At 43.8% G+C, this 15,509-nt stretch overlaps 1 long non-coding RNA gene across 1 annotated transcript in view, besides 1 other annotated feature; it reads left to right on the top strand.

Annotated features, from left to right (window-relative positions):
• Positions 1-15,509, top strand: part of LINC00423 (long intergenic non-protein coding RNA 423) — a 102,463-nt gene that overhangs the window by 62,377 nt on the left and 24,577 nt on the right. The window lies entirely within an intron of this gene.
• Positions 11,716-11,875: an enhancer, noted in NCBI's record as "active region_7565". NCBI's record gives its function as "activates an Ori minimal core promoter by ATAC-STARR-seq in GM12878 lymphoblastoid cells {active_cell/tissue: GM12878}" and the evidence as "EXISTENCE:reporter gene assay evidence [ECO:0000049][PMID:35858748]".

Here is a 15,509-nt window from a genome sequence, read left to right as displayed (position 1 = left end):
ATGACCCTGACCCACCAGAGATATTTTAGAAATTGTTTTCACAGATGATGAGAAAGAGAATCATCTTCATGTTCCATCCTGTTTTAAATACTTCTAGGCTCACAGATAGACTTCTAGGCCCTTCAGAAAGCTCTTTGAAATTCAAATCCAGGGGATCTGGAAGGTTCCTAGAAAGCAAACTCTGGGGTGAGCAGGGTTTCACAGCTGAGTGGAGCAAGTGTTTTGTGTAAGAACCAATTTAGGGCTGAAAGTCCTAGATGTATCTGCCTTTTTTTTTTTTTTTTCTGAGATGGAGTCTCACTCTGTCACCCAGGCTGTAGTGCAGTGGCACGATCTCAGCTCACTGCAACCTCCACCTCCTGGGTTCAAGCAATTCTCCTGCCTCAGCCTCCCGAGTAGCTGGGATTACAGGCATCCACCACCACACCCAGGTAATTTTTTATATTTTCGGTAGAGATGGGGTTTCACCACGTTGGCCAGGCTGGTCTCAAACTCCTGACCTCAAGTGATCCACCTGCCTCAGCCTCCCAAACTGCTGGAATTACAGGCTAGAGCCACCGCACCCAGCCTGTATCTGCTTTATTAATTAGAGGAATGCCCAGGAAGAAATCGCCATCATTTTTCTGCTACACATACCTACACACAAAGTGCATATCTGGGCCAATTTGAGGAATGACACCATAGATGGCTTTCTCACCTTCCTGTCATTTCTTCCTGAACTGTGGAGTAAGCCATGTGCAGTCGGGCTATAGGCCACTCAGCCCTGCTGTAACAGAGTTTCTAACCCCAGCCAGACTCACTTGCATCTGAAAACTGTTCTTCCCTGTGCTCTGTGTTTCCAGCTGCTGCTTTTTCTTTACTTACTGGTAGTTAGGGACTCTAGAATTCTGCTACAGAATCCTGCAGTCTTTTTGGTAGGTTTTAGAGAACACAGTGAATTAAAAACAGGTTGTTAGGAAAAATGGTCAAAGACGGGGAGAGAAACTGGAACACCCATTTCCCTAGACGTGCTAACCCTTTATCACCAAGTTGTCTCAGAGTTAGAGGCGCTGCGGCTCAAATGGTGCCCAGGGTACTCGTCTTTTATAAATAGCCTCTGCTATTGTTAGGCGCTGCCAAGGGAGAGAAACTGCTCATGTTCGGTTTGTAAAGAATTAGGGGCCAGATGTGGCAGCTCACGCCTGTAATCCTAGCACTTTGGGAGGCCGAGGCGGGTGGATCACTTGAGGTCAGGAGTTTAAAACCAGCCTGGCCAACATGGTGAAACCCTGTCTCTTTTAAAAATACAAAAAAGTTAGCCGGCGTGGTGCTGGGTGCCTATAATCCCAGCTACTCAGGTGGCTGAGGCACGAGAATCACTTGAACCTAGGAGGCAGAGGTTGCAGTGAGCCAAGATCGCACCACTGCACTCCAGCCTGGGTGACAAAGGGAGACTCTATCTCACAAAAAAAAAAAAAAAAAAAAAAGAATTAGGCTCCTTTTGAGAAGTAGACTGTTAGTTCTGGTGATAGTCGAGTCAAAAACATTCTAAAGAATCAACTCAGCATTAATTTCTCCCTCTCCCTTCTTCACACATGCGTGCGCACACACACACACTCCCCCCTCACTGACGAGACTATTGTCTTTTAACTGGAAGAGCTACCAGAAGCTTTTTTTTGAAAAAGCAGACATAAGAGGCACTATGGAGAGCAAATCATTTGTCAAAGTTAAGCAATGATTACATGATGCGCACATTACACAAGGAAACTTGCCTGACAAACCCCGTCGCTGGTGTCCAAGCACTGAGCAGCACCAGAATTAAGAATAGCAGTGGCCAGGCCTGGTGGCTCACACCTGTAATCCCAGCACTTTGGGAGGCCAAGGCAGGCAGATCACAAGGTCAAGAGATAGAGAGCATATGACCAACATGGTGAAACCCCATCTCTACTAAAAATACAAAAATTAGCTGGGCATGGTGGCAGGCGCCTGTAGTCCCATCCGCACCTGTACTCCCATCTGCGCTCTGGAGGCTGAGGCAGGGGAATCGCTCGAACCCGGAAGGCGGAGCTTGCAGTGAACTGGGATCGCACCACTGCACTCCAGCCTGGTAACAGAGTGAGACTCCATCTCAAAAAAAAAAAAACAGGAATAACAGCTCAGTGAAGTGAAGAGGCAGAAGAAGATGAAGGAAGATTGTACTTATTCCAGGAGTACAGTCCTCAATCAAAGCCTGATCTGCCTATGGAGTTGGAGTTGTGAAGCCCTAAGTACCTATTTCTTGTTAGTGTCCTGGTGTTCCTCTCTCTAAACACTGCTGACAACATGAATATGGTCTTATCCTTCACTATTGCCCTCACCTAATTGTCACACTCTTATTTGCATGATGAAATATGCACGAAATACAATGCTATAAAATGTTATTCTCCTGCTTTCTCCTGGTCTCCAATATGCTAGGCTCTTCTAAAAGGCTTCTGCTTCTGCTCCTGCCTCACGGTCTCCCCCCAGGGCACCCCACTGAGCTCTAGTTTGCCTGTGAAAAGCCAGAAGCATGGCATACAGCAGATCTGAAGTCACCCCTGCCTGCCGTGGATCAGAAGGTAACGTGTCTCCTGTTCCCCAGAGACCTGCCTGTCCATGCCTGGGAAGTTAAGTTTAATGACCAAAGAATCACCCCTGCCCACTTTCCCCTTCATTTTTAAATCTCAGCCCTCCCAGATGTGTGTCTACAGTATGTGCTCCATAGATATTTCTGGCTCAGGCTGCTGATAACGAATTCTTGAAAGAGGAAATAAATCAGGTCATTCCTATAGGGCTGCTTGGTTCACTGCAAATATGACTAATTAGTTCATAAATCAAGCAGAGCCAAAGGTGAGAGCACCTTGAATTTGGATCTGAAATGTTTGCACAAACAGGAGGAGGTGGACATTTTCTGCCCACTCTGATGCCACAGCACATTTCCCCCTGAGCTGTGAGCCTCCTGTCATTGAATCAATGTCACAGATTATTTGAGTCACACTCAGCAAAAGGCTGCAAGGAAACTGTGAATCAACAGTTCCGCGATGGAATTACAAAAAGAGTCAGATTGTCAGCAAGGTCATATCTGCTTGACATGCACTGTTCAGTGAGTGGGAACAAGCCTGCTGCACAGGAGGTCCTCACAGAATCACGTGGGCCAAAATTGAAGGTCCCCCACCTGCACCCCAGTGGGGTAGCTCACTCATGAAGGTAGAAATGGTCTGTTCTGTGTATTTGGACATCCGCCCGCAGCTGGCTGGTGCCCACACGCAGTGGCTCTTCAGTCCCATCACCGAATTAAGACCCACACTGGGAGCTCCAGGGGACATGCACCATTGGGCCTCAGGCCGAGCAGCTGATGCCTTTTTATTATAATCTGCTCTGTCCTTCTCATTGTGCTTCAGTGCCCTAAAGAAAAAATAATTATGAGATATGGTCGCAGCTTCCAGTTTAATTGGGAAGACAAGGCTAATCCATGAAATGGCAGAGAGAGAAAGACATGAGGCTAATTGCTAAATATTGCAGCACAGAGTTGATTGTCTGTGGGGAATCAGAGGAGATGGAGACAAGAAGTGAGAGACTCACTCACTTATGCTTCAGAGTCTTTGCATGTGCTGTTCCCTTTGCCTGGCGTGCTTTTCCCATCTCTTCATCTAGTTAACTCCTATCCTCCTCAGGGGTTGCTTTCACTGCCTACTTCCTCAAGGTACCTTTTCTGATCCTCTATTGAGTCTTTTCCCCCGGAGACTTTGACACAATTTGCAGTGTTGATTTGCTTTGTGTATTTGCTACTTTCTCTCTCTTCCTGCTGGACTATTAACACCTTGAAAGCAGGGATAAGTCAGTTTTGCTCATCGCTGAATTTCAGACCCTCAGCACAGAGCCTGCACACAGAAGGTGCTCCGGTGGGATCTGCCACTGAGCACAGGTGATACAGCTTGAGCTGGGCTTCCAGGAAAGTACAGGATTTGTATCCCCTCAGGTGAGATTTCAACATGAACACCTTTTTTTTTTATTTTTAAAGACAGGGTCTCACTCTATCATCCAAGCTGGATTGCAGTGGCAAAATCATAGCTCACTGCAGCTTTGAACTTCTGAGTTCAAGCGATTTTCCTGCCTCAGCCTCCTTAGTATCTGGGAATACAGGTGCCCACCACCACCCCTGGCTAATTTTTTTATTTTTTAAATTTTTTTGTAGAGATGAGGTCTTTCTGTGTTTCCCAGGTTGGTCTCGAACTCCTGGCCTCAAGCAATCCTATTGCCACAGCCTCCCAAAATGCTGATGACAGGCATGAGCGACCACACCAAGGTGAGCAGAGACCTAAATGTTGGCATCAATGAGGCATATGTGTGAGTGGTGAGGAGAGCACCCTACAGGGTAGAAGAGACAGGGGGGAAGGCAGGACTGTGAAAGGGGGTGGATCTGGGAGGACTTTAGAGACAGGCCAATGTTGACCACCAATGGAGGAGAAGAAAAGAGGGAGCCACTGAAGGGCTGTAATAAAAAGAATTGCCGGCTGGGCATGGTGGCTCATGCCTGTAATCCCAATACTTTGGGAGGCTGAAGCAGGTGGATCACCTGAGGTCAGGAGTTCAAGACCAGCCTGACCAACATGGCGAAACCAGTCTCTACTAAAAATACAAAAAAATTAGCTAGGTGTGATGGCGTGTGCCTGTAATCCCAGCTACACTGGAGGCTGAGGCAGGAGAATCGCTTGAATCTGGAGGTGGAGGTTGCAGTGAGCCAAGGACATGCCATCGCACTCGAGCCTCGGTGACAAGAGCGAAACTCCATCTCAAAAAGAAAAAAAAAGAAAAAAAAGAATTGCCTAGAGAAAGTGATACTGAAAGGTTCCTTTGGCATCTTGTTTGGAGGAGGAAGCCTCTGGAAGCAGAGGAGCCCGATGATGCAGGCCCACCCTGGGAAAGAGGAAGGAGCTTTCCACCTGGCAAAGGCCTTCGTGGCAGACACTCCTAGGACCAGCACAAGGAGAATGAGCAGGACCCAAGATGTAGAAATACAGATGAGGGAGCAGGAGTGAGAAGGGCTTCCAAGCCTACAGACTGGGTAGATAGGGACTGAGAGGCCAAGAACCGGGGCAGGGGGATTAGCAGAAGGAGCTGGTCAGGGAAAACTAGGGTGAAGGTGATGAGTTCAGTCTTGATATTCCAGCGACAAAAGTCATGGCATATTGTGAAAGTTGTCAGAATTGAACTGGAGTCACCAGTGTTTTTTGGGTTATTTGGGTTTTTTTTTTTTAACAGGAAAAGGTCTTTATTAGAAGAGAAAATTTTTTTCTTGGCATGTAGACTTTTTTCCCTTTCAAATGATCAGCTCTTAATGGGATTTTTCCTCCAAAATGGCAGTAAAAAGGAGTATTTTTGCCATTTTGATAAGACATACACCATAAACAAATGAGTGCTTGTGACCACACAAACGTTGGCAGGGAAGCCTCCTTTGTGGGGTACTGCAGCCCAGAAAGAACTGTATGGACCTCAGAGAGCCTCCCACACTGTTTCTCCATTGATATGGTTTGGATCTGTGTCCCCACCCAAATCTCATGTTGAATTGTAATCCCCAATGCTGGAGGTGGGGCCTGGTCAGAGGTGATTGGACTTGGGGGGAGGGTGATTTCTCATGGTTTAATTTCATCCTCACTTGGTGCTGTCTTCATGATAGTGAGTTCTCATGGATCTGGTTGTTTAAAAGTGTGTGGCACCAAAAACAAAAACAAAAAAACCCTGACAAATAGAGCCAGGGAAGGCTATGATGAGAGGATTCTCATACCTAAACGCCTGATAACAAAAACTATCTCAAAAAACTGCAAAAGCCACAACTTTGCACAAAGACCATCACAACCTCACACACAAAAATATACGTCTTTGAGGACATCTGCCCAGCAACCGCCTGTGCAACCTCAAACTGGCGTCACCCTTGTTATTGATCCTTGTACCCAAGGATAATTATCTCAAAACAATTATGTAATCCTCCTCATTTTTCTTTAAAAACCTTTCCCTCCTTTACCTCCCTGGATACACACACAGTTTGCTAATACACCTCTATTCCCATTGCAATGTCCTACTCCGGAATAAATATATTTTTCTTCTAGAGAGCTTCTCTCTGTTTGTTATTTAGATTGACAGTATGTATTAGTTATCTGTTGCTGTGTAACAAATTATTTCAAAAAATCCGTGGCTTAAAACAATACCCATTTATTATCTAACAACTTATGTGGGTCAGGAATTAGCTGGTGCTTTTGTTCCAGGATCTTTCACACAGCTGTGGTCAAGGCATCAGCTGGCACTGCGTATTCATCTGAAGGCTCAGCTGGGGTTGGGTCCACTTCCAAGCCCACTCATATGGTTGTCAGAATTCCATTTTTCATGAGCTGTTGGCCTGGAGACCCCAGTTCCTTGCTGGCTACTGGCCAGAGGCCACTCTCAGTCCCTTGCCATGTGGGCCTCTCCAACACAGCAGCTGCATGGAAGCATGCAAGCCAAGGAGGCCACACAGACAGTCTTCTAGCAAGAGGGACATTACAATCTTTTGTAACCTAATCATGGAAGTGACATCTCTCATATTGCCATATTTGTTAGAAGCAAGTTACTCAAAGGGAATATAATCTTACAAAGTCATCAGTACCAGGAGGCAGGAATCATTAGGGTCTATCTCAGAGGCTGCCAGCCACAGGGTATTTAGAAATGTGAAATTGAAGTTTGAGAGCAAGGGAGAAGTCATCTAAATGTAGATGAGGGTTAATATTATCAAAGGAAAGAGTATTGTGTGTGTGTGTGTGTGTGTGTGCGCGCGCGCACACACAATACTCTTTCCTTTGATAATATATACAAACACACACACACACACACATACACATACACACACACAAAGAGTATCCCTTATCTGAAATGCTTAGGACCAGAGATGTTTCAGATTTCGGATTTTTTCAGATTTTGGAATCTTTGCATATACATAATGAGATATCTTGGGGATGGACCCAAGTCTAAGCACAAAATTCATTTGTTTCATATATTCCTTTGTGTGTAGACTGAAAGTAATTTTATACAATTTTTTAATAATTTTGTGCATGAAACAAAGTTTATGTTAACATGAAACAAAGTTATGTTAAGTCCTTATGTGTGGAATTTTTAACTTGTGGTGTCATGTTGATACTCAAAAAGTTTTGAAATTTGGATTTCAGGTTTTCAGATTAGGAATGCTCAACCTCTAATGTATATGTGTATGTGTGTGTGTATATAGATACACATATATATATGGACATGGAGGATCAGTCACATTTAAAAATAAGAATAGGGAGGTAGAGAATAAATAAAATAGGGAAAAGGAGAACCTAGGGGATAATTCAACAAATCCAAGAGACCACCGCTTCCTTTAAAACCTAGGAGGGAAGTCATCTCCTCCAGGGAGCCCTCTTAGATTGACTGGGACCTATCTAATCCTCCACTAGTTATTCACTCAAAAGAGCCCAAGAGTCTATTATGTGCAAAGGCTACCGAGTGGAGAGGGACCTAACAGAGTCTCCAAGAAGCTTAGAAGTTAGGGAGTAAAGATGAATTGGTAAATAACTTTTTCAAGATGAAAAGCAGAAGTGACATGAGAGTGTTACACAGAAGAGACAGGAATCACCGAACTTCATGGTGGGAGACACGGCTTCCCCTGGGAAATGAGACTGATGTGTGGGTCAGGCTGGTCTCTAGTTTTCACTCCTGTGAATGTGCCACATTGGCTGGGGTCCCAGAACAGTGGGCATGGCTCCAGTTTGTCTCCCCAGCTGGGTCATGTAGCCGAGCTAAAGCACACCCAAGTTTTCCAGGCCTCTCCTACCTTCCTAGGGGGCCTGGATGGTGGCTTGCATGCCTCAACTCCCTGGAACTGCCTGCTGAGGGCAAAATTTCCTCTCAGGCGGTCGAACCAGCAGAAACACAGATGTAGCAGACCACCTGAAAGTAACTGCAGCATTTAGTGACATGTCTTCCACATTCTCAAGTCATTCAGCTCTTAGCAGACACAGGGCTGGATGGAAGCAGTCATTTTGTTCCCCTCGTTGGTCAAAAGATGCTTTTGATGAATCATTTCTTTATTTAGTTTTTAGATTGCATTCCACCTCAGGGGGAAAGCTCTCCAAATGAAACCGTTCATAAGACCAGGTAAAACCGCAGCAACTTTTAAGGCTATCCCTGAAGGTCAGCCAAAAGCCAGATCTCAGATTTCATTTGGAAATCTGCCAGAAGGGATGTTCTTGGATGCCGCGTGCTACCCACAGGGTCTTCCTGCCTCTCTCTGACAAGCCCCCTTGGATACTGCCTTGAAGAAAACAGTTTCTGGAAGTATAAGAAGGAGTACAATTGGTCGGGCGCAGTGGCTCACACCTGTAATCTCAGCACTTTAGGAGGCCGAGGCGGTTGGATCACTGGATTCAGGAGTTGAAGACCAGCCTGGCCAACATGGCGAAACCCCATCTCTACCAAAATATACACAAAAAATTAGTTGGGTGTGGTGGTGCACACCTGTAGTCCCAGCTACTCAGGAGGCTGAGACAGGAGAATCACTTGAACCCAGGAGGTGGAGGTTGCAGTGAGCCAAGGTCATGCCACTGCACTCCAGCTTGGGCAGCAGAGTAAGACCCTGTCTCAAAATAATTAATAATAATAATAATAATAATAATTTAAAAAATAAATAAATAAAGGCGGAAAACTGGACAAAGGAAAATAGCCATCAAGGGTCAAATTTCCCCTAAGAAAGGGTTTTCTGCTGACCAAGGACAGGATAAGGCAAGCACTCCTCACATTTCCACAGAGGAGAAAGGCGGGGAGCAGCTTGCTCTAAGCCTTAAGCAAAGTTGGGGGGACCACAGTGTGACTATCCCTAGCAAAGCCAGCCTCTGAGCTGACCACTATTATGACCTGCTCCCCATCTGCCGCTTGGAGGGACACTATTAGCAATTGGCAAGTTGCCAGTATCCCATTTATTGGCTCATTAATAATTCCTCTGGGCTCCCAAAGCAACCATTTGATTCCAAATAGATCACAAAATTCGCCACTGAGATATCTTTACCCTTTCTGACATTTCATGAGAGCAGAGGCAGAAATTCACACCGGAGAGTCTGGGAGTTGATACTGGAGACAGGGTTAATGTTCTCCTTTCCCCGAATCTACAGGGGCCTGGTTTGCTCTAATCTGCCTCCAGGAGGTGAGCCACCACCCTGGCTGGGCACTGCTCCACTTGCTTATGGTGGTACCTAGGGCCTTGCATCTCAAAGTGTGGTCCCCAGACCAGCAGCACTGGCACACCTCAGAAGATTCTTAAAAAAGCAGACTTTCAGGCCCCATCCCAGACCTATGGAATCAGATCCCGCATTGAAATAAGACCCACCCCACCAAGTAATTTATACACACCCTAAGGTGCTCTAATTTATTTGTAGGAATAAATGAATTTATCCCAAGAAAGTAATCAGATGCATGCACAGCTTGCAGGTACCCATGGGTTGAATGCGTCATTGCTTAAAAAGACAAAAACTGGGGCAGGGCCTGATGGCCCATGCCTATAATCCCAGCACTTAAAGAGGCCAAGGCGGTGGATCACTTGAGGCCAGGAGTTCAAGACCAGCCTGGCCAACATGGAGAAACGCCGTCCCTACTAAAATACAAAAATTAGCCAGGCATGATAGCACACACTTGTAGTCTCAGCTACTCAGAAGGCCGAGGCAGGAGAATGGCTTGAACCCAGGAGGCGGAGGTTGCAGTAAGCCAAGATGGCGCCACTGCACCCTAGCCTTGGGAACAGGGTGGGATTCTGTCTCAAAAAAAAAAAAAGGCAAAAACTGGAAACAAACCAAATGTATTGAAGCAATATTTATTTGAGTGCCTTCTATGTGACACTCAGAAAATAAGAGCTACAAAACAGAGACAGTCTTAAAAATATGGTTCATTTGGGGGGGATGGAAAATTGCATAGCCATTTTTTAAATACCTCTTTAAAAAAAGAAACCAAAACCTACTTCTAAAAGTAGAAGTAGGGCCTCTAAGGCCCTATTTCCTGCCTTCCAGGTTGGCTCAATTATTGTGACTGTCTCTAGGCAAACAGTTCGTGCAGGCTGCTAGGCTAAGGACATTTCCCTTTGCTAAACAAACAAGCAAATGCAGACAGGGCTCAGCTGCTGTAGCACATTGGAATTGCTTGTGAAATGAATTAAGATCCATTTCCAGGGCTGTGCTGTCTGAATGTAACTGCGGGCTTTCACCCCGCCCCCACCTTTCCCATCCCCCAAGGTATAGTCCACTCAATCTCAGGGGCACATGACCCTCTGGTTGTGATGTCCAAGGTGCTCAGTGGATTTACACGTCACTGTGTCCATTATTTTTCCTAAAAGGAAGACAGCTTAGATAAACACCTCCCTTTAAGTCAAATGTAAGTTTGTTCAACTACAGCCACAAGAAGGATAGCAAATTCCGGAGAAGGACCTTCTGGAGAACACAGCAATATTATCTCGCTGGCCCAGGGATGGGTTTGCAACTGCTCTCAATGGCTGCCGTACATCATCGCTTCACTGAGTATTGTCCAGGCAGAGCAAAGTCACTCAAGCAATACTTCTTATAATCAAGGCAAGTGGTCAGCGGCTGCCTTAAAAAAAAAAAAAAAAAGCCTGGAAATACAGTCCCCAGCCAGAGTAAAGATCCTCCTCTGCGACCTCACAGCCCAGCTGGATGGGACCCTGCAGCGCTCTCACCTCTCTGCTCAGGAAAATGTGGCTGCTGCGCGTCTCAGCCCAGCCGAATTTGATCTTGTGGATTTCATGTCTAATCTCAGCCTAGATTACTCGGGCTTGTTTGGCCCGCTCTAGCATGCCTGGTCTCTCTATTCTCTCTTGATTCTCTCCCATCCTTATTCATCCCTCACTCATTGATTGATTTAATTCAACAACCAAGCCCCCTGCTGTGCTGGATGTCAGATGTTCTAGGTGTGCTCAAATGAAGGCCCTTTTCATTTTCCGGAGGAGTTCACTTCCCATGTTGGGAGACAGTAACAGGAACAAATCAGGCTGCCTAGGTGTTCACGATGTCACCAATATTGGGAAGTTACATTTTGTAATATTTTAATAAAAATAGCTTTTCTGAGCCCAACCCCCTCCCACCGCCTACTGATCTTTGGCTCTTAGTTTCTGCGCCTTCCAAATTCCCTCCTCCATAGCTCACCTGGCCTTGAGGCTTTTACAAACTGCTCTGGCCTGCATCCTGGATCTCACTCTAGAAACCACTCTGCTGGGGTCATTCCGGCAGAGCACCCAGCTTCCCCTCTCTCTGTGGCAGAAAAACCTGATTCTCTCCCACTTTGTCATGAAAAGTCCCTTCCCTGCCTGCGTATCTCTCCAGCTCTTGCCTTATAAGTTAGAAGGCTCATTGGGTTGACTGCTAACCAAGCGCCATCTAGTAGAAGACTCCAGGTTTTGACAGTGCAAATTACAGTCTTTTAACGGGATCAGATTCTCAGGCCCCTCCCCCTCTTAATAGCACCTCTGAGCAGAAAGATGCAGTGGAGATTTATCTCATTTATGCTTTGACTCATGACACACATGTGCATGCACGCTCACATATCTTCATACACTCATTTACACATGCACTTACATACACACACATACATAAACACATACATACATACTCACACTCATGTACACACACACACGCACTCATGCATATGAACATCTTCTAGAAGGAGGAAGCAAATTGTGTTAGGTTTCTAGTCTTTCCCTTCCTGCTATAGACAATTGCAATGCAAATATGACAAATGATACAGTCAGAAGCAGATTTATCCTGAAGATAATGAAGCTTAAGCAACTGGGCTCTTTACTTGCACCAGACTGGTTCCTGGGGTGGTCTAGGTGGGGAGTGGAAGTCAGGTTGCAAACAGGAGGCATTTCTGAAAATGTCCCTAAAAATATCTCTGAAGAATGAGACCTGGATATCTAAAACTCTAGTAGTTTTTGTGATTTCTTTTCTTATGCTAGATAAATATTTGCATTCCTAGCTGCTATATGTGAATGTCTGTACCCCAACCCCCCACACATCACATTCACATGGTGAAATCCAATCCCCAAAGTAATGGTACTTGGAGGTGGGGCCTTTGGGAGATGGTTAGATCATGAAGGCAGAGCCCTCACAAATAGGATTATTACCCTTATAAAAGAAGCCCCAGAGAGCTCTCTTGTCCCTTTCACCTGCGGGGACACAGTGAAAAGACAGCCATTTATGAACCAGGAAGCAGACCCCCACCAGACACCAAAGCTGCCAGCACCTCCATCTCGGACTCCCCAGCCTCCAGAACTATGAGAAATAATTTTTTTTTGTTTATAAGCCACACAGTTTGTGGTCATTTGTTATAGCAGACCAAACAAAGAATCTAGCCAATTTTCAGCCAGGCGCTGAAACTCATACCTGTAATCCCAGCACTTTGGGAGGCCGAGGCGGGTGGATCACTTGAAGTCAGGAGTTTGAGACCAGCATGGCCAATATGGTGAAACCCCATCTCAACTAAAAACAAAAAAATTAGCCGGGCGTGATGTCACATTGCCTGTAGTCCCAGCTACTCAGGACGCTGAGGCAGGAGAATTGCTTGAACCCGGGAGGCAGTGGTTGCAGTGAGCCAAGATTGCACCACAGCACTCCAGCCTGGGACACAGAGCGAGACTCCATCTCAAAAAAAAAAAAAAAAAAAAAAAGAATCTAGCCAATTTTCTATTTGTGATTTTATATTTTTTGCTTAAAGAGGCTCCCCCAAATTATATTTGCTTCAGCTGCTACAAAATCTGAACTTATTCCTTTTTGCATTAAAACAGGAATTCTCAGTCTTGCCACTGTTCACATTTGGAGTTGGATAATTATTTGTTGTGGGGGCTGCCCTGTGCACTGTAGGATGTTTAGTAGCATCATTGACCTCTACCACTAAATGCCAGTAGCACTTTCCCCTACCTCCTTGCCAGTTGTGACAACCAAAATCTCCAGACATTGCCAAATGTGCCCATTTGAGAGCCACCATCATAAAAGGTTACAAAAGAAGCTATAAAAGAGGTTACAAATGGCTATAAAAGCAGAGGAAGAGAATCAAGATGGAGAGGTGAGTATGAAAGGAGGGACAGGAGCTTTGGAAGAACAGAGATGTTGTGAAGAACATAGTGAGCACTGGGTCTAGGGAAGACAAGGAAGAAAAGCAATAAAGGAATATGTGTAGATACGTAGTCTGGGGTGGATGGGGGAATCCCATGGCATAAATTTTATTAGGAAAGGTAATGAATTTGGTTTGACATTTTGTGTTAGGTACCCCACGGGGAGGGATATATAGGAGGAGTTGTATAGTAAGTTGATGGATATGGGGATCAAAAGAGAAATCAAGACTGAAGATTAATACATAAATTTGGTCCTTGTCAACTACATGGAAATTGAAGCCATGAGAAAACAAATTTTTGCTTAAAGACAGTGAAAAAAGCCAAAGACTAAATTCTAGGGAACATGAACTCTGGGTGGGAAGAAGAGAATCAACCAGTGAAAGATACTAAAAAAGAGTGGACAGATTCTGGCTGAAAGCAAGTGACCCAAGGCAGTAATTCAAATCTGCAAGAAAATAACAAAGAGCAACAGTAAAATAATTATGCCATTATAAAAGACAGTTTAACTGCAATTTTTTTCTCCTTTCTTCTCTTCACTGATTTTAAAAGCAATTGTATATAATAATATGTATATAATATACAAAGGGCCTTCAGAAAGTTAATGGGAAAATAAAATTAAAAGATAAAAACAAAAAGTATAAACTTTACCTTTCAACATATGCTCCATCAAGCTCAAGACAACTTTGTAAGTGATGACACCAATCATTTAGTCCATCCTTAAAGAACTGTAGTCCCTGGTTAGTGAAACATGTCCCTACTTGAGAGCCACTTTTTTACACTATAACTAAAGAAAAGTGGGTGCCCTTTAAAGACTTTTTTAAGATTAGGAAACAAAAAGAAATCAGAAGGAGCCAAATCAGAACTGTAAGGTGGATGCCTAATGATTTCCCATCAAAACTCTCTCCCCAAACTTCCCTTGTTTGATGAGAGGAATGAACAAAAGCATTCATAGTAGTTGAGAAGGACTCTGGTGAAGCTTTGTGGGCACCTTTCTGCTAAAGCTTTGGCTAGCTTTCTCAAAACACTCTCATAACAAGCAGGTGTTATTGTTCTTTAGCCTTTCAGAAAGTCAACAAGCAAAATACCTTGAGCATTTCAAAAAACTGTTGCCATGACTTTTGCTCTGATTGGTCTCCTTTTACTTTAACTAGGCCACTTCCAACGCTTGGTAGCCATTGCTTTGATTGTGCTTTGTCTTCAGGATAGTACTGGCAAAGCCATGTTCCATCTCCTATTACAATTCTTCAAAGAAATGCTTCAGGATCTTGATACCACTTGTTTAAAATTTCCATCGAAAGCTCTGTTGCCTGCAGCTGGTGTGGGCACAACAGTTTTGGCACCCATCAAGGGGAAACTTTGCTCAACATTAATTCTTCCTTCAGAATTGTGTAAGCTGAACCAACTGAGATGTCTGTGGTGTTGGCATTATTTGTAGTATTATTGTTAGTTATCTTCAATTGGTGCATAAATTAGGGCACCAAAAATTGATGTGTATAGTCTGCACCATGGTCTCCATCTTCAACATCAACTCAAACTACATCCTATTCAGACATTAATAAAACATTAATACAAGTTTATTTTGGTACAAAAAAAGTTTGAAACCTATGCATAGTTTTTCATAATATTCATTTTCCATGAATTTTGTGAAGACTCCTCATATTATTGAACCCATAACATACAGAAATGTGATATCTATATTAAATTTCCATAATGTAATGTATTTCTGTGTAATATATTTGTCAATGATAGAAAAAAGGAGGCGGGTGGAAGCAAAGCTGTATAAAAATGATTACAAATGATAAAGTCTTTATAGCAATATATTGTTGGGCTTGTAATGTGAATAAATGTAACACGTATAATAATAATAATAATGCAAAAGAAGGGGAAGAGAATAAAGCTAAACAGAAGTAATGCTTCCATATCTCACTAGAATTAGCTAGTGTAAATCAGAGGCTGATTCTGATAAATCAAGGTGAATATGGTAAGTGTTAGAGATACCAATGTAAAGAAATTTTTTAAACACAGTGAAAACCTAATTAAAGAAACATAAATATATCACTGGACAATATTTAAATAATGCAAGAGAAAGTAGTAAAGAAGCAATTGAAGAATAAAAGACATGAGACACATAGAAAAAAAGTACAATGGCAGATGTAAATCCAACTAGAAACATTAAATGTGAATGGATTAAACAATATAATCAAAAGGCAGAGACTGTCAGATTGGATTTTTAAAAATCCTACTATATGTTAGCTACGTACCTGAGACACACTTTAGATTAAAAGATACAAATAGATTGAAAGTAAAAAGATGGAAAATGATATATCATACAAACGGAAAC

Source organism: Homo sapiens, chromosome 13 (genome assembly GCF_000001405.40).
Source record: "Homo sapiens chromosome 13, GRCh38.p14 Primary Assembly".
NCBI classification, from domain to species: domain Eukaryota; kingdom Metazoa; phylum Chordata; class Mammalia; order Primates; family Hominidae; genus Homo; species Homo sapiens.
The sequence above is the reverse complement of the archived record's forward strand: the minus strand, read 5'-3'. Positions and strand labels throughout refer to the sequence as shown.